This window comes from Homo sapiens, chromosome 5 (assembly GCF_000001405.40).
Source record: "Homo sapiens chromosome 5, GRCh38.p14 Primary Assembly".
NCBI classification, from domain to species: domain Eukaryota; kingdom Metazoa; phylum Chordata; class Mammalia; order Primates; family Hominidae; genus Homo; species Homo sapiens.
Window position 1 is genome coordinate 148,161,345 of NC_000005.10, and position 26,852 is coordinate 148,188,196.

The 26,852-nt window shown below is 36.5% G+C and overlaps 1 protein-coding gene across 2 annotated transcripts; it reads left to right on the forward strand.

Annotated features, from left to right (window-relative positions):
* Positions 1 to 7,201: 7,201 nt before the first annotated feature.
* SPINK14 (serine peptidase inhibitor Kazal type 14 (putative)) lies at positions 7,202 to 14,275 on the forward strand. 2 transcript variants are annotated; one of them, NM_001001325.2, is made up of 5 exons: positions 7,202 to 7,223; positions 8,317 to 8,455; positions 9,586 to 9,629; positions 12,890 to 13,026; positions 14,009 to 14,275. In NM_001001325.2, the coding sequence occupies exons 2-5, from the start codon at positions 8,389 to 8,391 to the stop codon at positions 14,052 to 14,054; spliced, it is 294 nt and encodes a 97-aa protein (NP_001001325.1). In that variant the 5' UTR covers positions 7,202 to 7,223; positions 8,317 to 8,388; the 3' UTR covers positions 14,055 to 14,275. The 2 variants fall into 2 exon arrangements, with proteins under 2 accessions (NP_001001325.1, XP_016864958.1); XM_017009469.2 differs by lacking the exon at positions 7,202 to 7,223 and having other exon boundaries at positions 8,101 to 8,455.
* Positions 14,276 to 26,852: the final 12,577 nt, after the last annotated feature.

Consider the following 26,852-nt stretch of genomic DNA (forward strand, 5'->3'; position numbering starts at 1 on the left):
TGTTAAGTAAGCTCAATCTATAAATTATAGATTATATATAAATATATAAAACCTCTTAACATTTAGGGACAATCAGGCACTCATGCAGACATATTGAAATGTATGGAGATAAATTTTCTTACCAAAAATAAAAACCCCAAAATCAGATATGACAGAAGATTTTAATATATGTAATTAAATAATTTATTGGGAAGAAGTATATAGCTAGATGGAAAGAAAATAAAAAAAAGTAGGGGAGGTAGGTGTTGCCATTCTCATTCTAGCACTGCGGAAGGTCAACAGCATTCTCTCTCAGGGTGCTGCAACCTTTTATACACTTCAATGATTCATACACCTCTTGTGGATGTATATGCATCAGCTATTACTTTGCAAGGTTGGAATTCTAAACCAGTCGATAGTCTTATTAAGATATGTTAAGAGTAGCCAGGTGCGGTGGCTCACACCTTTAATTCTAGCACTTTGGGGGGCCGAGGCAGGTGAGTCACCTGAGGTCAGGAGTATGAGAGTCTGGCCAACATGGCGAAACCCCGTCTCTACTAACAATAAAAAAAAAAAAATAGTTGGGTGTGGTGGCATACACCTGTAGTCCCAGCTACTTAGGAGACTGAGGCAGAAGAATCACTTGAACCCAAGAGGCAGAGGTTGCATTGAGCCAAGATTGTGCCACTGCACTACAGCCTGAGTTACAGAGTGAGACTCCATCTCAAAAAAAAAAAAAAAAAAAAGATATGTTAGGAGACTGGTGCCCAAGGAAGTAATGAAAAGAAAGGCTGAAATTCAGTTTGAGTTATTAGTATTTGCCACCACTGTTGTCAGATCTTGTACCAGGTTCTATGGATACAGTGATGTCCAGGACAATTTCTGCCTTTGTGGATAGCCTTCTTAGGGGTGAGTAACATAGAGACACAGAAACAGACAGGGAGACTGCCAGGAGATAAGGACATTCAGAAATAGATTTAAGAGAGTAGTGCTGTCAATAGCAGGAGATGGAAATAAAACAAGAAAATAAGGGAATAGAATATCGCCCTTATTCTTCAGTTTAGAACCTGGGGAAATGAAAGATTTTTATCTCAGAATTTAAGTCCTCATTAAAATGGTCTTTCAAAAACATTAAAAATGAAACTGATAGAATATTCACTGTAGCGATATTTAGCTCCTTTCTTATTCTGGCAGGCCTGAAAGGGCTCCTTCTGAAAGTTGAAAGAATATAAACTTATTTTCTCCTTAGAAGAGGTGGACAGTTTGCAGATGGTGAATTATTGTCTTCTTCCTTGAAGGTTAAATCTAGGGTAAAAATAAATGTGTTTTCTCCTAGGAAGAGGTGTATAGATTACAGATAGCACATTTTTGTTTCCTTGCTTGTGTTTGAGGCTTTTGAACTTTCTTGATTGTGGTATCAGCCTGTTCTTGCACTGCCACAAAAAACTACCTGAAACTGAGCAATACATAAAGAAAAGAAGTTAATTGGCTCACAGTTTCGCAGGCTGTACAGGAAGCATGGCTCAGGAGGCTTCAGGAAACTTAGAATCATGGCAAAAGTTGGGAAAAGAAAGCAGGGGAAGCAAGCACATCTTACATGGCTGGAAAAGGAGGAAGAGATTGTGGAAGGTGCCACACACTTTTAAACAACCAGATCTCATGAGAACTCACTCACTATCATAAGAACAGCAGGGAGGAAATCTGCCCCTATGACCCAATCACCTCTCACCAGGTCTCTCGTCCAACATTGAGGATTATAATTCAACACAAGACTTGGGCAAATCCAAATCATATCATTTCACCCCTGGCCCCTCCCAAATTTTATGTCCTTCTCACATTGCAAAATACAATCATCCCTTCTCAACAGTCCCCCAATTCTTAACTCATTTCAGCATTAACTCAAAAGTCCACAGTCTAAAGTCTTATCTGAGACAAGGCAAGTTCCTTTCACCTGTGAAACTGTGAAATAAATAACAAGTTAGTTACTTTCAAGATACAATGGGGATACAGGAATTGGGTAAACATACCCATTCCAAAAGGGAGAAATCAACCAAAATAAAGGGGCTACAGGCCCCATGCAAGTCTTAAACCCATCAGTGCAGTCATTAAGTCTTAAAGCTCCAAAATAATCTTGTTTGACTCCATGTCTCATATCCAGGCCACACCAATGCAAGGGATGGGCTCATAAGGCCTTGGGGATCTCTACCCCTGTGGCTTTGCAGGGTACAGCACCCTTGGCTGCTTTCACAGGCCGGTGTTGAGTGCCTGCAGCTTTTGCAGGATCACAGTGCAAGCTGTTGGTGGATCTACAATTCTGGGGTCTGGAGGATGGTATCCCTTTTCTCACAGCTCCACTAGGCAGTGATCCAGTGGAGACCCTGTGTAGGTGATCCAATCCCACATTTCCCCTCTTTACTGCCCTAGTAGGGGTTCTTCATATGGGCTCTCTGCAGCAGACTTCTGCCTGGTCAAAGCCATTCAACAAGTCTCTAGGGAGTTTCAAACTCTCCCTCAACTTCCTGTCTTCTTTTGAGCCCTCCAAAATTGTTCCAACCTCTTCCCATTACCCAGTCCCAAAGCTGCTTCCACAGCTTTAGATGGCCAAAGCTCTGCCCCTTAGACATCCTATAAGATACTGTGGGCAGAATTTGTTGTCCCAAAGTGAAGTGGAGAGAAGCAAGTAACTCTTTGGAAGGGATCATAAATGGGAAGAAAGACAAATCAGTTAAGACCCAGATGAGTTTTCCATCAAGGCCTACTTTGAGGATTTCTTATTTTCCTTCTCATTTCTGAGGAAACTTATCTCTAGGTTACAGCTTTTTAACTTTCCCCCTTCTTGATAATTCTCTTTAAATAATTTTATCATATTATTATTATTTTATGAGATATAATTAGATGCTATTATATTATGTTTATACTTTTAAGTTTAGTATATATGTATGCATTTCCCTGTCCTTACCTTTTTTATAAAGAAAATATGTACCCTTGTACATCCAGGGGCAGGAGTTTTAGGGAGAATGAAGGGTTAGGGTGGCTTTCTCTGCTCCACCTCTTGGTTAATCCCAATGGACAGGGAGTAGCAGCCCATGGTGGTGGTTGGGACCGGGGAGCTGGCCAGCTGGAACCAGCAGGGCAGTGACTGGGTAGTTGACAGAGGATCTCGGAATGACACAAAGGGGTACATAAACAGATAATTTAGGACAGGAAGTAAGGTTAAGAAATAGCATTTTTATTTTATGCTATAAGAATTGCATATCTGCAAGGTAGAGGAGCTGACACTTGGATTATACAAGGCTAAATATTGGCCCTCTGATACGGTTTGGCTCTCTGTCCCCACTCAAATCTCATCTTGTAGCACCCATAATTCCCACGTGTTGTGGGAGGGACCCAGTGGGAGATGATTGAATCATGGGGGCGAGTCTTTCCCATGTTGTTCCCGTGATAGTGAATGGGTCTCATGAGATCTGATGGTTTTCTCTGCACAATGAGAGTTCTCTGCACAAGCTCTCTCTTTCTGCCTGCCACCATCCACATAAGATATGACTTGTTCCTCCTTGCCTTCCACCATGATTGTGAGGCTTCTCCAGCTACGTGGAACTGTGAGTTCTCCATTAAACCTCTTTTCTTTGTAAATTGCCCAGTCTCGAGTATATCTTTATCAGTAGCGTGAAAATGAACCAACACACCCTCTAAAGGAGTTAGAGGGAAAGTAAAAATAAAACAAAACAAAAAATGTTTTGGTTTTTTGTTTTGTTATTCATGTTATGCAAAGAGAAAAGATAAGAAGATCTGTTATTTGGAATGTAAGGTGGTTCTTCTGAAGCAAACATTGTACATGACAAAGTTAAACAGGCAAGAATGATTTTATTTAAGGTTATTGCAGTCAGGAAGAGAGGCCAGAACTCAGCCTGAACCCAAGTCACTGAAACAAAGGAAATGGGAGGGTTTTTAAGGGCTGGGGTGAGCTAATGCCAAGTACTGGAGGATATTAGGGAGAAACCATAGGCCATCTGTGTTTGCTAATTGGCTTAATCCAAACTAAAAAAAAGCTCATATCTTTATGATAGGAGGTGTTTTTGCAAATTGGAGCAAGGTGCTTACCACCCTCAAAGGTAGCTCTGTACTATTCCACAGAAACTAGTAGATACGGGCACTATTTGCCTTAATGATTACATTTCAAAGGGATGTCCCTCAGGCCACTGAGAAAGACAGTCCTGGGTTGGGTTGTTAAACTGGCAAGAGGCTTCTAAAAGGATTTACAAGTCAAATGGATATATAAAGAAATTAGAGTTACACATTATAAAGTAAATGCTTCACAAAAAAAGGAGGTCAGTGGCTTAGAGTTAAGAAGCTTATCTACAGTTCAGTTGAGCCAAGGGGAAGGTTAAAGCCATAAAACCATCTTGGTCAGTCCAAATAACTGGTTATCCAAACCCATAGTCAAGACCAGTGCAAAAGAATGTACAAGTCTGGTTAATGCTGTCCTAGGGCTTCCCTAAAATCCTTGAGAAGGGGAAGGCTTAATCCTACAGCCTGGATGGTACCAATTATTTGCGTGGTATCTGGTGGTTTTTCTCTGAGGGATAAAGCATTGTTGCCACTTATCAGTACTGTGGTGGAAATATAATTGGTCATCAGAATGAGGTGGACTATGAAATTTCTAACCATTGGGCAGTGGAGCTGAGACTTTCTGCAGGAGGACAGTGGTAGAGCCTTAGATCAATCCTGTGACACTAGAAGATTTTGCACCCATGAAAGGTGATAAGAATCTGCTTTGGACAACAGGAGGAGGCACTGGGTTTTGAAGATGTGGGTTTGAGGTGAAATTGGAACACATAAATTGAATTACTTCACAGCTAGGGAGGCTGGAATTCGGTGAGAAAGCCCTAAGCTGTAGCTTTTGGAATTAGACTGGGTGTAATAGATGATGACAAAATCATAGACTAAGGATTCTCTGAGGGAGATATGATCCTTTAATCTTACTTATTGTCTTCTCCCAATATTAGTTCAACTGAAATTTGGGGGAGTTTGGAAGAAGTAAAGATGTTCTAGCCTTAATTATTTCCTGTAGCACTTGGTTTTCCTCTGTGTGCTTCAGGATTAAGCGATGTTTATAGACCTCCCTCTGTTATCTTGTTTTTGCATCTATTAAATAGAGCCATGTGGCCATAACATGCAATTCTCTTTATCTTAGAATATTTTGCTTCAGTTTTACATAGTTAAAATATCGGATTTGTGGCATTTTATTGTTTGATTCCTCAATGCTAATATAAATGAGAAACACAGGGGTCATGATTAATACCTAAATGTCACAAGATTCAGAAAACACAAATATTGGAAATTTCCTCCTCAAGTCTGCTTTCCTTGAGTAATTATTTGTTTAATGACTTTTCCTGTAGTGTGTCTAAGCTCCATTAGGGTAAGGATGATGCCAATAGTTTTCACAGCTGTACTTTCAGGGCCCCTCACAATTCCTGACAAATCAGAATCCCAGACTGTAGAAGACCTATGGAAACTCACCTTATGAGTGATGCTCTGCTAATAAAATTTGCAGCAAAACAAAGTTAAAAAAAATGTAAATTATTTATTCTCAGATGGGAAGTAATTTCACACTTATTATTTTTGAATGCCATAAAATGAGTCCGTGGCTCTGAATTTACAACACTCACATCCATATAGTGGCTGAGAAGAAGCCAAATTAAAATAGCATTTATTGGTGGCTTATCTGGCTCAGTTTTCAAAGCTGTTTAAGTGTTTGTTCAATTAAACCTCCAAAGAGCACTTGATGGAATGTGTGATTACCCAATAGCGCAAAATGGAAAATTCTGTGGTCCAGATAGAATAAATTACTTTCCAAGTTGACAAAACATTATAAATTGATGTTCTGATTCTGCGTTCAGAATCCTTTCTAAACAACAGGATGCATCTACCTTTCCAAACTGGGGAACAAATGATCTACTCAGGAAGATAGCAGGTTGTTTTCAAAATATTTCTTGTAAGTATGGAGCCCAGAATTACAAGTATGGAGCCCAGAAATGTGATGAAAACCACCACCTCTCTCATATTCTAGGTGACCTAAGTTCTTTCTGGAAGTTTTCAATGGGTTTATTTACAGGCATTTATTAAAATAAAATATTAAAAGACAAGTTAACTGAGGTAAATAAAAATCTGCCTATGCTAGCACTATTAATAACAATAAAAAATTGGCATCACCCTAATTGAGCAACAATTAAAGAATATTAGTATAATTAAAATCCACATATGTGATGGAATATGACACCAGGCATCTAAATTCATGTTCAATATATTTAGAGATCAAGAAAATGTAATAGTGCATTTCTAAGTGAAAAAACAATATATATTATAAAAGTTGAATATTGTAATAAAACATATGTACCTGTGTGATTATGTATATATATTTAAACTGGAAGAATATAATTTTATATATATTTAATAGGTACCTCTGAGTTGTAAGATTTCACACCTTTTTATTTCATTTGTATATTTTTTGTTTTATATATTTTATTTCATTTTGTATGTTTCTTTTTTTTCATATTTCTATTTGGCCATTTCTATTTGTATGTTTCTACTTGCTCCGCCTCCCTCTCTTTTTTGTATATTTCTATTTTATAAATTTTCTAAGTGAGCATATATTTTCTTTGTATAAGAAAAATAGCTTTTTACAGAAGGAATGGTAGAGGCCAGAAGTTCAGATAATAGGAGGACCTTAAGCTATAATAATATATCTTCCCTGTTAAAATGGCAAAGGCTCTGGGTTACTACAGGCACAAGGCTGGATCTACTGCAAATGGTATCCAAGGATCTCATCTGTCACTGCAACCTCCTGTACCAGCCTTTTCTTTATTAGATGTTTCCACACATGTTTTCATTCTGGTCCTAATACTGGTCCTGGTCTTGATACTAATTATTGTTGTGGAACATGTTATATTCTTTCTGCTTGCTCTTTCCTACTGTGGGATGTTTTCTCATGCTATTGCCTCTCTTGAATTGCCTGCTAATGGCTGCCCTTTCCAGTGATCTCTTCTTACCCTCCTCAGGTCTTCCCCTGCTGAGGTTTGATGCAATCTGAATGATGGATCTCCAGGGCCTGCTCAGTCCAGCACACAATGCCTCAGTGACTTTTCTGTCCTACGCAGCAGTTACTCTATTTCCTCCTGGGGCCCTAATACATGCTTCTTAGAAGGAGCACATTATATTCCTCTTCCTTTTCTCTTCTTTCTGAGGTGGGTCAGCTGTGACATGAGGGATGGAGAGAGTGGGCCTCTGTGTTTTGCTCTAGTTTTCTGGCTGCAGCTGAACTTGTACTGTTCCTGTTCCATTTCTGGAGGAAGCCAGGGAAAATATCAGGATGAGATGGGGGTGTGTTTAGCAAAACATGGTGTCCCAGATTGTGCCAGGAGTAGGCATGGTAGGCAACCTTTCATAGTGTACAAAGAACTTGCAATCATCCTGAGAGTAGAATACTCTGGCTACATTTTAATGTCTTAAGTAACACCTGCCACATCAGAGCACATCAGCAGAGTTTATATAAATTATCCATTGACATGTGTTGCAGACAGAGATAAAAGCCTAGAGAACATATGGAAGACCAGGCTACTTTTCTAGAATTAGGAATGGAGGAACAGTTAAATGTGGTCCTTGGTCAGGCCCTGGAAACTGCAGTTTCCATTCTCTGGGGTCAGAAATGTTGCTACAAGGAAAGTCCATCCCGAGGGAGGATTTGCTCTCTGACTTTTCCCTTTCTGTGTCTGGATTAAAATAGCTGTGGGACCCCAGTGAGATGGCAGATAATGATTTTTCTCCCTGTGAATGTCCTCAAAGAGTCTGGGATTCAACATCAGAAGATCCTTGGTATAGACAAGCATGCCTGAATCATCAGAAATCTTTGTCTTAATCCAAAGAGGTATTCTTTGCTTGACGAGCAAGTACAGATCCACTCCACTTATTGAGAAGTTCATGTTGTCTAGGGACCTCAATAGCCCCATCTTTTTTTTTGCATCCCCTCAAAAGATAAATTTAGGTGAAGCTTCAGGTAAGGAGTTGCTTTTTCATGACATGTAAAATGTTTTCCCACTAAAATAATACACTTATGCCCACAGAGTAACCTATGATTTACTTCTGAGTATTCAAAGATCTGTTACTGAGCTCTATACTTTTAATCAAGATAGTTATTCAAGGTTTAACTTTTTAAACATTTGTTTCTGAAGAAGAATGGAATAGGCTTTCCAAATACATAGTACTGAGGATACAATGGGTGGAGTAGAGATGGCTCTTCATTGTAAAAGTCATCTTAAATCCTGATTGTCTCTACTTTAGTGATTGTATTAGAGGGCAACAACCTGAGACAATATTTCAGAGCATCATTCCAAGGACACACCAGGAGGAAAAATGGCCAAATCTTTCCCAGTATTCTCACTTTTGTCCTTTATCTTGATACATTTGGTGTTATCTTCTGGTGAGTAATTTAGCTGGTCTTGGCCAGCAGTTGAAATTGATTTGTGGGCTTTTACATCATAATCTGAGAGAGAATGCTTTGAAATTGTTCTTTAACTGGGATGAATATATATATATGTGTATATATATATAAATTATCCATTGACGTGTTGCAGAGTGTATATATGTATATATATATTTATATATATACTCAGAGTATATGACAAAATGAAGGTCTCTGCCCATTGAATCAGTATTTTAGACTCTCTCTGTCTCTATATTTGTATATACACACATATACATATACATATATATACACACACATGTATATATATACTCTGAGTATACTCAGAGTATATATATGTATACACATACTCAGAGTATATATATATATATACACACACACACACACACACACATACATATATATATATATAGAGAGAGAGAGTCTAAAAGACTGATTCAATGGGCAGAGACCTTTGTTTTGCCATCTTTTGCATGCCGATTATGAGATTTAACTCATGAGGGCAAGGAGGCTTGGGTGACTCACTGAGGTAACATGTAAAAGTGACTAGCAATATAATATGCATACATGAGATCACATCTGGAAAATTTAGAGTGTTTGATTTGCTGTGTATTTGACTGGACCATTATCTTTTGTGCCCTCTTCTAGAGAAGAAATCATGTAGGGAGTCATAAAGAGGCCTAGCCTCAAGGGCTGCAGAGCTTGCTTTTTCACATATCTACCAAGAATTCCTGAGTATTACCCAGGTGTCTTTCATGCCTAAAAAAATATGATGATTGGGCCAAAAGATCACTTTAAAGTTACAGCATTGCTTATTTCTTTCATACATAGATTACCAGCTCTAAGTCCTCTCAAGTCCAAGCTAATTAGGAAAATTATTTAGTACACTGGACTGCCAGCCTTTATGAAACAGTGATGCATCTATATAGTCCCCTGCTGATATCAATTAGGAGTAAAAGATTTATTTCACATTTAAAAAAATGAATGAATACATGTATAAATGAAATAATGTTTTCCATTGCTGAAAACTTCCTTGATAATAAATTAGAACTCGTTTATTCTGCCAACAGATTAAGCTATGATTTAACAGGAATTAAATTCTGTAACTATTTTCATGTATTCTCTAGTTTCAGGCCCTAGACACTGGTGGCCACCACGTGGAATTATTAAGGTAATGTTCCATTAAATTTCCCCCCAGGACTTACATTATAATATGAGTTCTTTTTTTTTGGAATTGTTACTGTGGAAACTTAATGCCTCAAGGTCACCCGTAATAGTCTTCAAGGCCTATTTGTACGAGGGTGGTGGATACACTGCTGAAACAGTACCCCAGAGTAGAGATCCAAACTTGGAACCCAGACAACATTCACTCATACATACACCAGAGAACCCTCTTTAGTGCCTGAGAAATATTGAAGAGTATTGACAATTGCCAGGAGCATGACAGGTTCTTAAGAGCCTATGGACTTGGGCATAACATGGTCCTGGCTCTCAAGGAGCTCACAGTCTGATGGAAACAATGACTTAAAAGAATGCTCCTAAATGTCTTGAGATGTACAGAGAATGCCTATGTAAGTTGTGAATGCAGAAGGCAACTTCTGGATATGGATGGAAGAAAATGTGAAGAACAGTAGATACCTGAACAGAGCCTCAAACTATGTTTGCAACTTGGATGAGGGCAAAATGGAGACATCTTTTTCATTTTCGTCTACCTTAATGAGCACTGCATATAATGTGAGGTCAATCGATATTTGATAAGTGAGGGAAAAGATGAATGAGGGATTAAACTTTTCATTTTGATTCACATTTGCATCACTGTATTCCTTCCCTTTAGAAGTATTAGCACCTTAAGCTTTTGTCTAATTCATAAATTTTAAATTTTATTTCTTCTTTGTAAAAAAGTCTGTCATGAGTTGACTGCTGAGAAAGATATTTTGAGGGCAGCTCTACCTTCAAGAGACCCGGGGACCAGAATGTGAAGCTTGTCAGAGGCTACTGCCCCAGAAAATATCTGCAGAATTTGTCCAGGATTTATACCCTGGTCTCATAAAGCTGAGTTCTGGAATTTTCTTCTGCAGAAATTTACCTGCAGGATAAGTCTGCCTCATGCCCATAAATCCATAAACAATAATAAATGCGCTCACTTTTACTTATTTTCTTTAAAAAATATTTATTAATCACCTATGCTGTGCCCTAAGATACACTATTGAGGAAAGCAGTTATATTCCTTTTCCTCATGAACCTTGCAGATAACCAAAAAAGGAAGAAACCAACTATGATTTATGGTAAATTTTATAAATACAAGAAATAAAATGGTATGATAGAGAATATCTGTTGAGTGTAGAGATAACTACTATAAACAATGGGTTCAGGCAAGGTTTGTCTGTCATGGGGATATCTAAGGTGAGACTTGAAGGATAAAAAGTAGCCACCCAGGTGAAGAGGGGGGAGAAAGACCTTACCTACCTGGGTCACTAATTGAAGCCCTGTGTGACTGGAGCACAGACAGGGAAGAAAAGTGGCGGATGCTACAGTGAGAGCAGCAGGTGGGATTCTCACCTGAAGAATGCATAACTTCCTCCAAAGAGAGAGAGAGAGAAAAGAAGCTATATTTATAGACAACAATATAAACTGTTCTTACTCTTGTCTTTGATAACTGTATATTCTTTCAGATTCAACTATTTTATATCTCATTTATTCATTTGGCAAATGTTTATATAGCAATGACTAATGCCAATATATGTGCTGGGCACATAATGACTAGCCTAATCAGACACAAATCTTTCCCTTCTGGGCTTATACTCCTTTGGGGGTGTGGGATTAGTTAAATAATTAAACAAATGCGTTGTTACAAACTGATTAAAAGTATAAAAATAAATAACAGAGAGTTGTGACCGTATTTTAATAAATAGTTCTCAGAAAGTGGGTTATAACCTGAGCTCTAAAGTTAGAATGAGTTTAGGTTGAGAAAAAATATATTTGGTGGGGTGGTTATGACACGTCAGAAGACCTTGAGGTGAGGGAAAGATAAAGAATTTATAAAAAAGAAAAGCAAACTAACGAACTTACTAAAAGGGCAGAAAGCAAGGTAGTATCAGGTAAGGGCGGAAGATTTGGGAGGTTCCAGGTCACATAGGGACTTTTAGCCCATATTAAGAAATACTTTTTTATAATGTGCAATGAGGTTCGACGAAAGGACCTTAATCAAGGAAATAAAATGATTCAATAGAAGTTTAAAATATGAAACTTCAGGAAATAAGGAATAAAGGAAATGGAGGGATTAGTTGGGTAACGATGGTGGCCTGGCCATGATGGTGGTGTTGAATAAAAAAAGAGGGAAGAGGAATTTCTAAGTTAAAACATGACCCCCTTCTTTCCAAATTCCTAGCCAAAACTTTCTCCTACTTTGTGCGTGAGGTATTTTATCTGTACCAATCTCATGACACTTATGGAGTCCCTGAGAACACTAGCCTCAAGCTTCATAATCCCAGAGTCACTACTTCAATTCATCACCAGCACCAGCATTGTCCAGAGGAGAACTTCCCCCTGAAAACAAACATCCCTGAGTCCGGGTCCCTGAGGAGACATGTCCCTTCCTTTGTTTTCGATTTTTTTCTACAGTGTCAGGGCATTAGTCTTAGTGATCTTGCACTTTACAACTTTGAAATAGGAAATGGCTTGAGGATTTAGAGAGTGAAAAAAAAGTGATAAATATTTGAAATCAAGGCATGTGGATTCTTCCATTATTGATCTTCAGTTTTCTTTGCTGAGCTGTCATAGAAAGTCTCTAAGAATCTTTCCAGATCTAATAATTGGGGCATAAAGAAGACTGAGAGAGAAGCCCCAGATAAATAATCTATTTATCTACTCTTCTTATTCTTTTTTTTAACCATAGCATAGTTGGCCATTGTTCTCCTTTATTGAGAAGGTCCTGACAACCAGGGCATCATATTGTCACCAAATGGGATATATATAGGTTCTAGTTCCATGGCTTTGTGGAGATGGGAAAGAGAGCTTTTGTGAGAGTGGAATATTGTCTTGACTATGCTTAGATTTTTTTTTTTTTTTTTTTTAGGTGGGGTCTTACTGTGTTGCCTAGGCTGGAGTGGAATGGCACCATCATTGCTCACTGCAGTCAAGTGATCCTCCTGCCCCATCCTTCTGAGAAGCTGGGACTGCAGGCGTGCACCACCATGCCAGGCTAATTAAAAAAAAAAAAACTGGAGAGACAGGGTATCGCTCTGTTGCCTAGGCTGATCTTGAACTCCTGGGCTCAAGCAATCCTCCCACCTCAGCCTCCCAAAATGTTGGAATGACAGGCATGAGCCACCACGCCTAGACTATGCTTAGATTTTTCCTAATAAAGTTCAAAGGTGACCTACCTGTCTAAGTGGGATTCTAACTGGATAAATCTTTTCAACTCAATTTCAGGTGAAATGTCCATATGAGAAAGTAAACTTGAGCTGGTACAATGGAACGGTCAACCCCTGCCCTGGCTTATATCAACCCATCTGCGGCACCAATTTTATAACCTATGATAATCCCTGCATTCTGTGTGTTGAGAGCTTGTGAGTACTATTTGGGGAAAAGAGGGGAACTGTAAGTATGGTTATCCACAGCAATTACCATCTACCCTTCCTATCAAGTACATCAACCTTGAAGCCAGGAATTTGCTCCAGTTCACACAGATAATAATCAGCACCCACTCAGAAAAGCACATAGTAATTGAAAGTCCACTGGACTAGAAAGTAGACTCATTGTACCGAATGACATTCCTCAGGTCCGTTCTGGTATCTGAGCCCTTACATTCCCATATGCCAATTGATTGACTTCCACTCGAGAAGCTCTCAAATATCCCTTCAGGCCCTGAATTATTTTTTATTTTAAGAAAAATTGTAGTTTTGCTTTCTCTTAAATATCTTCACCCCCTTATGTGTTTGAAACTCTGAACTACAATGATGATGTAATTGCAAAGTTTGGATCTTCTAGCTGAGACAGTGTTTAGATTTTTGGATTTATGTGACATAAATCAGTGATTAGATACTGAAATCTTATAACGCAATGCTTTCAGCTTTGATTCCTATATGAGTGAGTGCATTTCACAGAGAGAAAAATTTTCCCCATGGCATCAGATTGGAGCTCTTAGCCCAATCATTTTGTAAATTTTGTGCAAGGAGCAATGACAGGAATGTGCAAAGCTCAGGTCATCCCCACTAATAAGTAATTCAGCCAAAGTGTGAGAGTATTAACAGAATAGTTGAGGATTGACATGCCTCACACATCACAAACTCGGACCTGATTACACAGCTTAATTTCAAAAAGACTGTAGCATGTCTCATAATATCTCCAGTGGCATCTTAGAATCAAGGAATGATAACTAGGTAAGAAATCCAATAATTTTGTCTTTTGTCATTAGTCAATTCCCTTTACACTCTGGATCTTAGTTTTTCCAAATATAAAACCAGGTTTTAGATAGATAATTTTAAAAGTATTTGTTTAGTTCTGACATTGTATTACTAAATGAAATGTTTATTCTGATTCTTCCTTTAGGAAATCTCATGGAAGAATCAGGTTTTACCATGATGGAAAATGTTAGCTGAGTGGACTTGAATGTGGAAGATATCTTCTTTTTTTTTTCCTCCATGTCTCCAATCTCCCTCTTGCGCTTTTTACATCTCCTTGCATTTGTTCTTCATGACAAAGAGCTATCACTACTGAGCTTGTAGCAGATTGTTCAAAGTTCCTTCCATGGACCTCTCCCCTCACTGACTGATTGCCTTCCATAGTCTCCCTAATAAATACACTTTTATGAAAGTCTGATTTGACTTGGGTCTCAGATCTGTGTCTAAAAATCTCAGAAGCAGAAGAAATTCAGAATTTCAGTCATGGGTCAAAGGCAACTATTGGGATTAACCAGCTCTCTAATGCTAATAACACTGAATTAATCTATGTCAAGCCTCCAGATTGTCTTCCGAAGAACATGACAGAAATTTCTTCCATATTCCTTTGGCATTAAAAAAAAAAGTAATGGAACTATAGGACATTGTACTCTGCTTGTAGGATTCCTGTTGCCTAACTTCTGCAAACTTATCATTAAACATCCTCCCTTTTGGATTCAGCCTCGAGACAGAGGTATTTACACATGTGCAGCTTTGATCAGCAGGGCCCCACATTCTCAGCAGATCTATTTTGCCTAGAAGAACACCTACATTGTTGGTATCCATTAATGTCCCATTGGTCATTAGCCTTTTTCTTAAATTCTCTGGACAAATTTTAACCCCTAAAACGTATAGGGACACCTTTTTCTCTCTTATACTTCATATGTATTTTTTACTTCTATATGTACAGCAGACTAATAATATGCACTAATATGCTCTCTTCCTTTCAGAACTTTGCTTCCTACTGGCTTGGGAAAGAGCATCTATTCTGCCTCTTACTACCTTGCAAGGCTGTGGTCAGAGTGTGTACATGTTCTGTTACATCTTTGATCTTACCTCCTGTGCTGATCACATGGTGAATACATGGCTCCAGTGAGAAGAAAACAATCACTTTTCATGTATCATCTTTAGAATTAATATCTCTGGGAAAAACTAGATATTCTCTAGCTTTATAGCATGCCAATTTCCATTGCTCCAAGTCCTGGGCTATGCAAGAACATCAAGAACTTCAGGGATCCTGGGAGGATTGTTTTTTAACATTATTGCTGTATCTTTGTTGACAAATCTTTTCTTCTGCAATAATTAATTTGCCATTAATGTCATCAAGTGAATTCTTAAAAATCTTAAATAGGCACTATTAATAGCCTTGCATGAGATCTGAGCTCTGTTATCTCTAATCCTCTCTAATGACTCTTTCTTTGCTTTGGGTAGTTTCTTCACACACGAGCACCAATTGTTAATCTTCTGATCCCTTTATCCAGCTCTCCTGTGCAGTAGTCCTGCAGACACCAGCCAGTTTAGTCTCTATTTCCTTTCAGCTCTGTATCCTCAACTCGTAATTGCTTCATTGAGATTCCTCTTTCCTATTCCTAGAATCTCTTACAATGCAAAAACCAAGGTCAACTACAGACTTTAATTTATTTATTTTCCATCTATCAGGAATCTGTCCTTCAGTGCCTCGTGTCCTAGTGTCATGTTTACATATTTGTCTGACTATTTTTGTTGTTTCAGGTAGGAGAATATATCTTATCTGGTTTTCCTTGCATCCTATTGTTTGAAAGTAGAAGTTGACTTTATCTTTTATCGTGCCATTGTACTTACGTTTTATACTTCTTTTTCCTATGATACCTCCTAAAGTCTACACTAGAATACGTTGTCATTATTCTACTTTTTGTAAGAATTCCAATGGACAAGATTTGTGCTCTATAATACTACAAATCTTTTTAGTAGATAAGAAAGCACTGACTTAAACTGTCAATGGGTAACAGTAAAAAGATCAGTAAAAATAATTTTTTTTCTGTCATTTGATAGTAGGCATTCCCAAAGATGTAAAGGAGATCAGCATGCATCTAAATGCAAGATGGCCTCCTTCCAGTGCAACCCCTAAGGATAATTTTCACAGGTCTCTTATGACTGCTAACATGAAAGGAACTTCCCCCTTTTGCGGTCCCAGCTCTGATAGTCACTGCCTGTGTTCTCATTCTTTCTCTCTCTCTCTCCCTCTGCCTTTGGCAGGTGATTTCAAATTCCTCCCTCTGATTCCCTGTATATTTTATGCTTTGGTAATTGATTAGCCCCAGGTTTTAGCTATTGCCATCTTCCACCCACCCTGCTTCCTCTGCATGACAAACCCACTCACATCTGTATTACTCTGTTGCCTATATACGTATAACTCACTTACCCACATCATGAGACTGTGCCCATATTCTTAGCATCAGACACTGGACATCTTTATATATACACATATATATATATATATACACACACACACACACACACATATATATATACACATATATATTCCATTTAATGACTTTGGACATGCGCATACAACCTTGAAACCATCGTCACAATCAAGGCAGTAGACATATCTGTCACCTCTAAAAATTTTCCTGTGACTCTTTGTTTTTGTTAATGCTGCTGTTGTTGTTGTTGTTGTAAGAAAAATTAATGAGATCTACCCTCAATAAATTTTGAAGTGCACAACACCGTATTGTTAACTATGGGCACTATGTTGTATAGTAGATCTTCAGAACTTATTCTTACATAATCAAAATTTTAAAACCATGAACAACAACTCCCCATTTCTCCCTCCCCCCAGTCCCTGGAAACTATTATTTTATTCTCTGCTTCCATGAATTTGACTATTTTATTTTTATTTTATTTTATTTGTTTTACTTTAAGTTCTGGGATACACATGCAGAATGTGCAGGTTTGTTACATAGGCATACATGTGTCATGGTGGTTTGCTGCACCTATCAACCCATCATCTAGATTTTAAGACCTGCATGCATTAGGTGTTTGTCCTAATGCTCTCCCTCCCCTTGCCTCTCATCCCACAACCACCCCAGTGTGTGTTGTTCCTCTCCCCATGTCCATATGTTCTCATTGTTCAACTCCCACTTATGAGTGAGAACATACGGTGCTTGACTTTCTGTTTCTGTGTTAGTTTGCTGAAGATGATGGCTTCCAGCTTCATCCACTTCCCTTCAAATGGCATGATCGAATTCATTTTTATGGCTGCATAGTATTCCATGGTATATGTACCACATTTTCTTTATCCAGTCTATCACTGATGGGCATTTGGGTTCGTTCCATGACTTTGCTATTGTAAATAGTGCTGCAGTAAACATACATGTGCATGTGTCTTTATAGTAGAATGATTTATAGTCCTTTGGGTGTATACCCAGTAATGGGATTGCTGGGTCAAAGGGTATTTCTGGTTCTAGATCCTTGAGGAATCACCATACCATCTTTCACAATGGTTGAACTAATTTACATTCCCACCAACATTGTAAGAGTTTCTATTTCTCCACTGCTTCACCAGCATCTATTGTTTCTTGACTTTTTAATAATCACCATTCTGACTGGCATGAGATGGTGTTTCCTTGTGGTTTAGAATTGCATTTCTCTAATGATCAGTGCTTATGAGCATTTTTCATGTTTGTTGGCCTCATAAATATCTTCTTTGTGAAGCAGACACTGGACATCTTAATTTCACTGGCTCTTGTGGAATCTTGAAAGTCAATCTATCTAATATGGATCCTATGCTTTTCTAAATTTGCTTTACACATGTTTTGATGTAATGAAAATTAATGCTATCACTCTCTCTAAGCCCTTTTTCACTCAAACTCAATTTTAATATACTATAAATATATATTCCTTATATCAGCTTACATATTGATCAAACTCATGAACATTTATTTAATTCAAGTCATCTTGTTTTAATGTTATTTTACTATTCATCTTAACTGTTATCTCAGGTTCCATTCTATTCTTCTGACCATAATTTTCCATTTAAATATTATCTGTTAAAAATCACTATCCTTGGTTAATTATAATAGAAACAAACATCTTAGTATGACATACAAGACACTTTATTTCATCTGTGAAAGACACTCTCGAAGCCCAAGTTGAACTATAATGAACTCTTGTAGGACTTGTAGCAAACCCTATTTGCCCATAAGGTGGCAGTAAAGCATTGCTCTTTAGACCAACAACTTTGACAATACTTTTGGCCAACTTGTCATATAACAATATGATTTTGGGGAAATTGCTAGATCTCTATGAGCTGCAGATTTCTTATCATCTAACATGGTAATATCCTTCTCCCCAGGAAGATGAAAGCTCCTAACATACTCAGCCTTGACGTTTATTCAGGTGTCACATTGGATGAGAGTATTGGGAAATGTTTCTAACTAATGGAATATTTGTAACTAACGAATGGACTAAATATTACTCTTCTAATCCTATGGAGTTTTTTTCTTTCTGATTAGCTTATTTTTACCCTGAGAAAGTTAATTCAGAGAGACAGACTTGTGTAAACTGTTTTCCATGTATTTTCCAAGCAAAAATTTGGAATGAGTTAGATATGGGCCCTATGTAGGCTTCCAGAAAGTCATTGTTATTTAAAATAACAATGAAAACAACATGACAAATCTAAGCCACAGTTAATTTTCTTTAATATAAAATTCATTGATTTATTTTTATTATTATTTTCAACAAATCATAATTGTGTACACTTACGGGGTGTAATGTGATGTTTTGTTATATGTATACAAAGTGGAATGATTAAATCCATCTAATTCACATATCCATCACTTCACTTATTTTTTGTGGTGTGACATTGCAAATTTACTTTCTTAGCTATTTTTAAATAGGCAACATGTTTTTATTAACTATAGTCATCCTTCTGTGCAGTAGATTTTATAAGCCTATTATTTTGTGTAACTGAAACTTCGTACAATTTGATAAACACCTCCTCATTCCTTCCTCCCCACCCCCACTTCTAGCTTCTGGTAACCAGCATACCATTCTCTACTTCTACTTCTATGAACTTGATCTCTTTTAACATTCTGCATTTAAGTGTGAGTATGTGGTGAAAGTGGGCATCTCTGTCCTATTCCATATCTCAGAGGAGAAGCTTTCAGCTTTTCACCATTAAGTATGATGTTAGCTGTGGGCTTGGCATATATGCCATAACTGTGTTTAGGTACATTTCTTCTATGCTAACTGTATTTAGGTACAGTTTTTTTCTTTGCCTGGCTTATTTCACTTTACATAATGTTCTCCAATTCTGTACATATTGCTGCAAATGACAGAGTTTCTTTCTTTTTAAAAGATGAATAGTATTCCATTGTATATCACACTTGGAAATATATCACATTTTCTTCATCCATTCATTTGTTGATGGACATATAGATTGTTTACATATTTTTTCTATTGCAGACAATGCTGTAATGAATACAGCATGCAGATACCTCTTCCACGTGTTGACTTGAATTCCTTTGGGTATATACCCAGAGTGGGATTGCTGGATCATATAGTAGTTCCATTTTTAGTTTTTTGAGGAACCTCCATCCTGTTTTCCATAATGACTGTACTAATTTACATTCCCAATAAGAGTGTACAAAGGTTCTGTTTTCTTCACTTCCTTGCCAGCACTTCTTATCTTTCATTGTTATAATAGCCATTCTAACAGGTGTGAAGTCATATCTTATTCTGGTTTTAATTTGCATTTCCCTAATTATTAGTGATGTAGAGCATTTAAAAATAAACATGTTTGCAATTTGTATGCCTTCTTTTGAGAAATGTCTGTTCAGGTCCTTTGCCAATTTTTAATTAGATTATTTGTTTTCTTGCTATTTAGTTGCTTGAATTCCTTATGTATTTTGGAATACTAAACCTTTGTTAGATGCATGGTTTGTGAATATTTTTTTTCCCCACTCTGTGGGTTGTCTCTTTACTCTATTTTTTCCTTGGCTGTGCAGAAATTTTCAGATTTGATGCAATCTCGTTTGTATTAATACTTTTGCTTTTGTTGCCTTTGTTTAGAGTTCAGATAAAAAAAATCATTGCTCATACCAATGTTATAAAGCTCTTCCCCTGTTTCCTTCTAGTTTTACGGTTTCAAGACTTACATATAAATCTTTAATTCATTTTGAGTTCATTTTTATATATAGTATGAGATAAGAAACCAATTTTATTTTTCATCAGGCAAATATTCCATTTTCCCAGCACCATTTATTGAAGAGACTCTCCTTTTCCTTTCTCCATTGTATGTTTTTAAATTTTATTTCAAAAATCAATTAGATAAAAATGTGTGGGTTTATTTTTGATCTGTCTATTCTGTTCCATTGGTTGATGTATCTGTTTTTATGCCAGTTCCATGCTGTCTTTATAGCATGGTGCTGGCATAAAATAGCTTTATAATATATCTTGAAGTCAGGTAGTATGATGCCTCCAGCTTCATTCTTTTTGCTCAGTATACTTTGGCTTTTCACGGTCTTTTGTGGCTCCATACGAGTTTAAGAGTTGTTTTCTCTGTTTCTATATAAAAAGACTGGAATTTTTATATTGAATGTTTAGATCATTCTGGGTTGTATAAACATTTTCACAATATTAATTCTTCCAATCCATGAACACAGATATTTCTCTATTTTTTCTTCAATTTGTTTCGTCACTGTTTTATAGTTTTTTTGTATATAAATCTTTCACCTCCTTGATTAAATTTACACCTAAGTGTTTTCTTTTTTGGTTGCTATTGTGGATGGGATTAAAAAATTTTTTTGGATAGTTCATTATTCGTTTATAAATACTAATTTTTATATGTTGATTTTGTATGCTGCCACTCTACTAAATTTGTTTATCTTTTCTAGTAGTTTTCTTTGTGGCATCTTTAGGGTTTTCTATATACGAGATCATACCGTCCACACACAGAGACAATTTCAGTTTTTCATTTCCAAAAGTTTTCATTTAATTTCAACAAATAAAATGATTTTTGTTCTATGGTAACTTTGTTTTCATTTTATGTGTGTATGTGTGTATTATGTGTAAACATTTGTGTGTGTGTGTGGCAATAATAGCTAAAATCTACTAATTTAGCATGAATCCCAATGTAGTAATGGGTAATTTTATTACCCGTAGTTCTCATGTTGTATATTAGATCTCTAGACTTATTTATCCTACATATGGGCTATTTTTTAAAATATTTTGACCTACATCTCTGTATTTTCATACCCTTCCACACCAAACTTACCCCTGATAAACACTGTTTTGTTCTCTATTTCTGTGTATTTGAATTATTTTGAGTTTCACATATAAATGAGATCAGGCAATACTTTTATTTTTGGGTCTGGCTTATTTCACTTAGCATAATGTCCTCCAGACTCATTCATTTTGTGGCAAATGGCAAGACTTCATTTGTTTTAAGGGCTGAATAATATTCTATACATTCATACGTGTGCCACAGTGATTTTAATCCAGTCATCCATCAATGAACACTTAGGTTCTTCACATATCTTGGCTATTGTGAATAAGGTTGCAATGAACATGAAAGTGCAGATATCTTTACAAGGTCATGATTTCTTCCTTTTTGGATATATACTCAGAAGAGGGACTGCTGGGTTACATGGTAGTTCTATTTTTAATTTCTTTTGGAACTCCGGTACAGTTTTCCACAATGACCTATTAATCTACAGTCCCATCAACAATGTTTCAGGGCTCCCTTTTCTCCATACCCTTGCCAAAACTTGTTACTTCTTGTATTTTTGACTATATATATAGATATATGCACAAATACATACATATATATATATATATATATATACACACACACACACACACACACACACACACACACACACACACACACATATATATTTGAGATGGGATCTCACTCTGTCACCCAGGCTCCCAGGCTGAAGTGCAGTGCAGTGACACAATCATGGCTCATTGCAGCCTCCACCTGCTTGGGCTCAGGTGATCCTCCTACCTCAGCCTCCCAGGTAGTAGGGACTACAGGCGTATGCTACCACAGCCTGCTAATTTTTGTATATTTTGTAGAGACGGGATCTCACCATGTTGCCCAGGCTGGCTAGAACCCCTGGGCTCAAGCGATCTGCCTGCCTCAGCCTCCAAAACTGTTAAGATTATAGGCAGGAGCCAATGCACGTGGCCCCTTTATATATTTTGGATATTAATTTTTTATCAGATATATGGTTTACAAATACTTTCTCTGAATATGTAGGTTCTTATTCATTTTGTTTATTGTTTCCTTTGCTGTGAAGAAGCTTTTTAGTTTGAGGTAGCCCAACTTGTATCAATTTTTTCTTTTTCCTTTTGGTATGATATCCAAAAAATCATTGCCAAGGCCAACGTTAAAGAGCTTTTCCTCTATGTTTTCTTCTAAGAACTTTGGGGTTTCAGGCCTTATACTTGGAAGGTATTACAATAGATCCCTCAAAAATAGAATGGATAATAAGGGACAATAGAGAAAATAATTTCTTAGAAAATACAGCCTACAAAGATTGAGTCAGAAAAAGTAGAAAGTCTGAAAAGTTCAATAACAAATAAGGAGACTGAAGTGGTAATTAAAACCTCCCAATGAAGAAAAGCTCAGGACAAGATGGCTTTGTAGCTAAATTTTACCACATATTAAGGCAGAATTAATACTAATCTTTCTTAAATTTTTCCTAAAATAGAACTAAGGAAATACTCCCAAACTCATTATATGAGTCCTGGTATCACCAGCTCGATATACCAAAGTCAAAGATACCACAATAAAAAAAAATGACAAGCGATTCTCTGACGAACATTGATTCAAAAATTCTCAATAAAATATTGTCAAAAGGGATTCAACAACATGGCGTGGTGGCTCACGCCTGTAATCCCAGCACTTTGGGAGGCCGAGGCTGGCAGATCACGAGGTCAAGAGATCGAGACCAACGTGGCCAACATGGTGAAACGCCGTCTCTACTAAAACTAAGAAAAGTAGCAGGGTGCAGTGGCAGGCGCCTGTAATCCCAGCTACTTGGGAGGCTGAGGCAGGAGAATCGCCTGAACCCAGGAGGCGGAGGTTGCAGTGAACCGAGATCGTGCCACTGCACTCCGCCTGGCGACAGAGAGAGACTCCGTCTCAAAAAAAAAAAAAAAAGTACATTATGACCAAGTGGGATTTATCCTTGGCAAGCAAGCCTGGTTTACCATACACAAATCAATCACTGTAACACGTCACATTAACAGAATAGAAGATAAAAACTTCTTTACCATCTCAATTGATGCAGCAAAAGCATTTCACAAAGTTGAACATTATTTATTGATTCAAAGCTCTCTATAGTTTAGGTATAGAAGGAAAGTTCCTCCACATACTAAAAACCATCTTTGAGAAAACCACAGCTAACGTTATAATCAATGGGGAATAACTAAGCTTTTCCTCTAGGATCCAGTACCAGGCAAGGATGCCCACTCTCGTCACTTTGGTTCAAACATATTACAGTACTGGAAATACTACAAAGAGTAATCAGACTAGAACAAAAAAGAAAAAGGCATACAAATCAAAAAATAAAAAAGTAAAGTTATTTCTAATGGCAAATGACAAGATTCTAAATGTAGAAAACCCCAAATACTCCACAAAAAAGCAGTTAGAACGAATCAATGAATTTAGTAAAATTACTAGATACAAAATTGACATACAAAAATTAATTGCATATCTGTACACAAATCATAACCTATATGAAAAATAAATGAAGAGAACAATCCCATTTTCAAAAGCATAAAAAATACTTAGCAAGAAATTTAAGCAAAAATGTGAAAGATTATACACTGTAAACTACAAAACATTGATGAAAAAAAGTGAAGACACAAATAAATAAAAAGATACCCCTTGCTCATGGATTAGAATATTGTTAAAATGTTTGTAATACCCAAAACAATATACAGAATTAACACAGTTTCTATAAAAATTCCAATGAAATTCTTCACAGAAATAGAAAAAAAAGTCCTAAAATTTGTCTGGAACCACGAAAGTCATCGAATCGTCAAAGTAATTCTGAGAAAGAAAAATAAAGAGGTGTAACACTTTCTTATTTAAAGTTATGTTAAAAGGCTATAGTGATCAAAAGAGTGTGTAGAACAGGCTTAAAAACAGAAACATTTCAATGGAGCCAAATAGGAAGCTGAGAATCAAAAGGTCAGGAGAGGGAAAGGATAATCTCTTTAGTAGATAGGGCTGGAAAAACCGGATTTCCTCATGAAAAGAATAAGGTTGAACCCTTATCTTAGACCATACACAAAAATCAAACAAAAATGGGTATATTCAAGATTTTCCACATTTTGTGATCTAATAGACATCCATACTATTTGTGTAAGACCTTTGAAATCAGGCTTCGGCAAACAATGATTTATGATTTCTTCTTACTTAAAAATATTTCTGGTTCAGTGTACCTTATATGAAATATTTGGGATGAGAAGTGTTTGGGAATTTGGGTTTAGTTTTTTGGATTTGGGAATATTTTCAGAAAACCCAGTGGTTGAGCATCCTTAATCCAAAAATCTGTGATCTGAAATGCTCCAATGAGCATTTTCTTTTGAGCTCCATGTTGGGGCTCAAAAAGCTCCAGATTTTAGATCATTTTGCATTTCAGATTTTTCATATTATGCACGCTCAACCTGTACTAAAGAAGATTATGCCATTTTAATGACTGGATAATATAGACATATAAACCTAATATAACTCTGAGGTGAAGTATATCCCTTCCAATGTCACATTCATTAAGTAAAGAGACATGGAAGAGATGCAGATTCAGTAGAGATCATAAGAAATTTAGTTTTGGATATAATGAATTTTAGGAAAAACTGGGACCATAAAACGAAAAATGTATATACCTTAGAATAATGAAATGACCCTTCTTAACTTTTCTTTTTGAGCAAATTCCTGTATGACTACAAGTAATAATAAAAGAATATGTGTGTTGTAGTGGTGGTGGTGGGGGCCTTGCTCAGTTTCTTCAGTTGGCTGAACATTTTCTGGCAATGAGAAAAAGGGACACATAAGACTATTAAGAAAATATAAATATGTCAAAGGTATACTTTTTTGCATAATAATAACTTAGCTTCTATGATTACTCAATCTCCTCCTTCGTCAGTGTTCCAAGGGAAACTATGACTTGTTAGCATTATGACTAAGTGTTAGGAGAGGAAATGCCCATATTGCAAAGTTGCATCCTAAGCAGTCAAGCAGAAGTTTGTGGCTTTCTTTCTGTGAAACTGACTCTTACAGAATGGCCCTTGACTAAGGGGAGAAGTCATTACACTCTTTCCCAGGACTCTCTACTTCTCCTACCTAAGACATTTATAATTATATGGTTAAGTGACTACTTCTTTTGTCTTCAACATAAGAATGTAAATTCTAGGCGAGCTGATATTGTGTCAGTTGGGTGCTTTTGGACTGATTCTAGGAAATAGTACTGTCTAATATCTATATTAGCTATAGGTATATTATCTATATCTAATATCATGAGCCAGATATTGCACAATAAGAGGAATCAGCATTCTGATCCAGTTCTTCAGCTCACTTTCTGTACAACTTGGGAGAATTCATTTAATCTTGCTAAGCATTGGTTTACTCGTGGGTAAAATAAGCTTGTACCTAATAAGCACCTCACAGAATTGTGATATTCAAAATGAGATAGCACAGTAAATGCACTTTTTAAAGTGGCATACTCATGTAAAGAAGTTGAGGAATAGCTTATTTTATAGAGAAAAAGATTTTAAAAATCAGTTTTTCTACTTTGCTTACTTTTCCTCAAGTATTCTTGTGTTCTGCAATATGATCTGAGGTTTGAGTTACAACTCTTGTCTGAGATATTAAAGCTCAAATCTTTAGCCTGTGACAAGTAGAGCACTGAATCTGCTTTTTAAAAACTTTAATAGTAAAATGGCATAATTCAAACAGCAATCATTACAATAAACTTCGTACTATAATGTCTCCTTGTACAAGAAGATGAAAAGGTATTAAAAACCACATTACAAAAACCAATTTAAAAATTAAAAAAACATACAAAATATGTGAAAAATATAACAATTAAATGAAAAAAGTGAAAGTTGTCAATATTAATAGGAAGTAAAGCTGAATACAAACCAAAGAACATTAAATTTATTTCCTTTAGCATCCTCATTCTCAGATAAGAAAGCTTCCTTTGTGACTGAGAATATAGAAGCAATTCCAAAAGATCTACAACAGGTTCCCACCAGCACATCAGCATCCATACTGTACTCTTCTCTGTTACTGTGGAAGAGGTCTCCATGTCCCTACCAAAGACTAACCCTGAACATTTTCTTTTATTGAAAGAAGGAAGATCTGAAATCGATAATCTCAAGTTACATTGTGAGAAACTGGAAAAAATGAGGAAATCTTAACAAGATAAGCATAAAAAAGAAATCATAAATCACAAAGGGGGAAAACAATTAAATAGAAAACAGAAAAGCAGTAGAAACAGATCAATGAAACCAAAAGGTAGTTCTTTGAGATTGATAAAACTGATAAACGTGAAGTGACCAATCAGAAAAAAAAAGACAGAAGACACAAATCACCAATAAGAATGACAGAGGTAACAACTCTAGAGTTCTTATATAAATTAAAATAATAATAAGGAAACATTATGAAAAAAATTATATCAACTATTTTGTTAATTTAGTTGAAGTGGAAGAATTCATTTAAAGACATAAACTACCAAAATTCACTCAAGAAGGAATTAATTTATATAGTCCTACATCTCTTAAATTAATTGAATTTCTAGATAAAAATCTCTGATAAGAAACTCATTGGCTCTGGTGCCATCACTGGTTAATTCTACCAAAAATTTAAATAAAAAAATACTGATTCTATACACATTCACATATAATATTAACGAAAAGAGAACACTTACTAAATTATTCTATGAAGTTGCCATTAACCT

Excerpts from the sequence above, each read along its gene's own strand:
- SPINK14 (NM_001001325.2), top strand. The coding sequence starts at position 8,389 with ATGGCCAAATCTTTCCCAGTATTCTCACTTTTGTCCTTTATCTTGATA. Across the intron at positions 9,630-12,889 it reads CACCACGTGGAATTATTAAG|GTGAAATGTCCATATGAGAA; the intron begins GTAATGTTCCAT and ends ACTCAATTTCAG. Across the intron at positions 13,027-14,008 it reads ATTCTGTGTGTTGAGAGCTT|GAAATCTCATGGAAGAATCA; the intron begins GTGAGTACTATT and ends TTCTTCCTTTAG.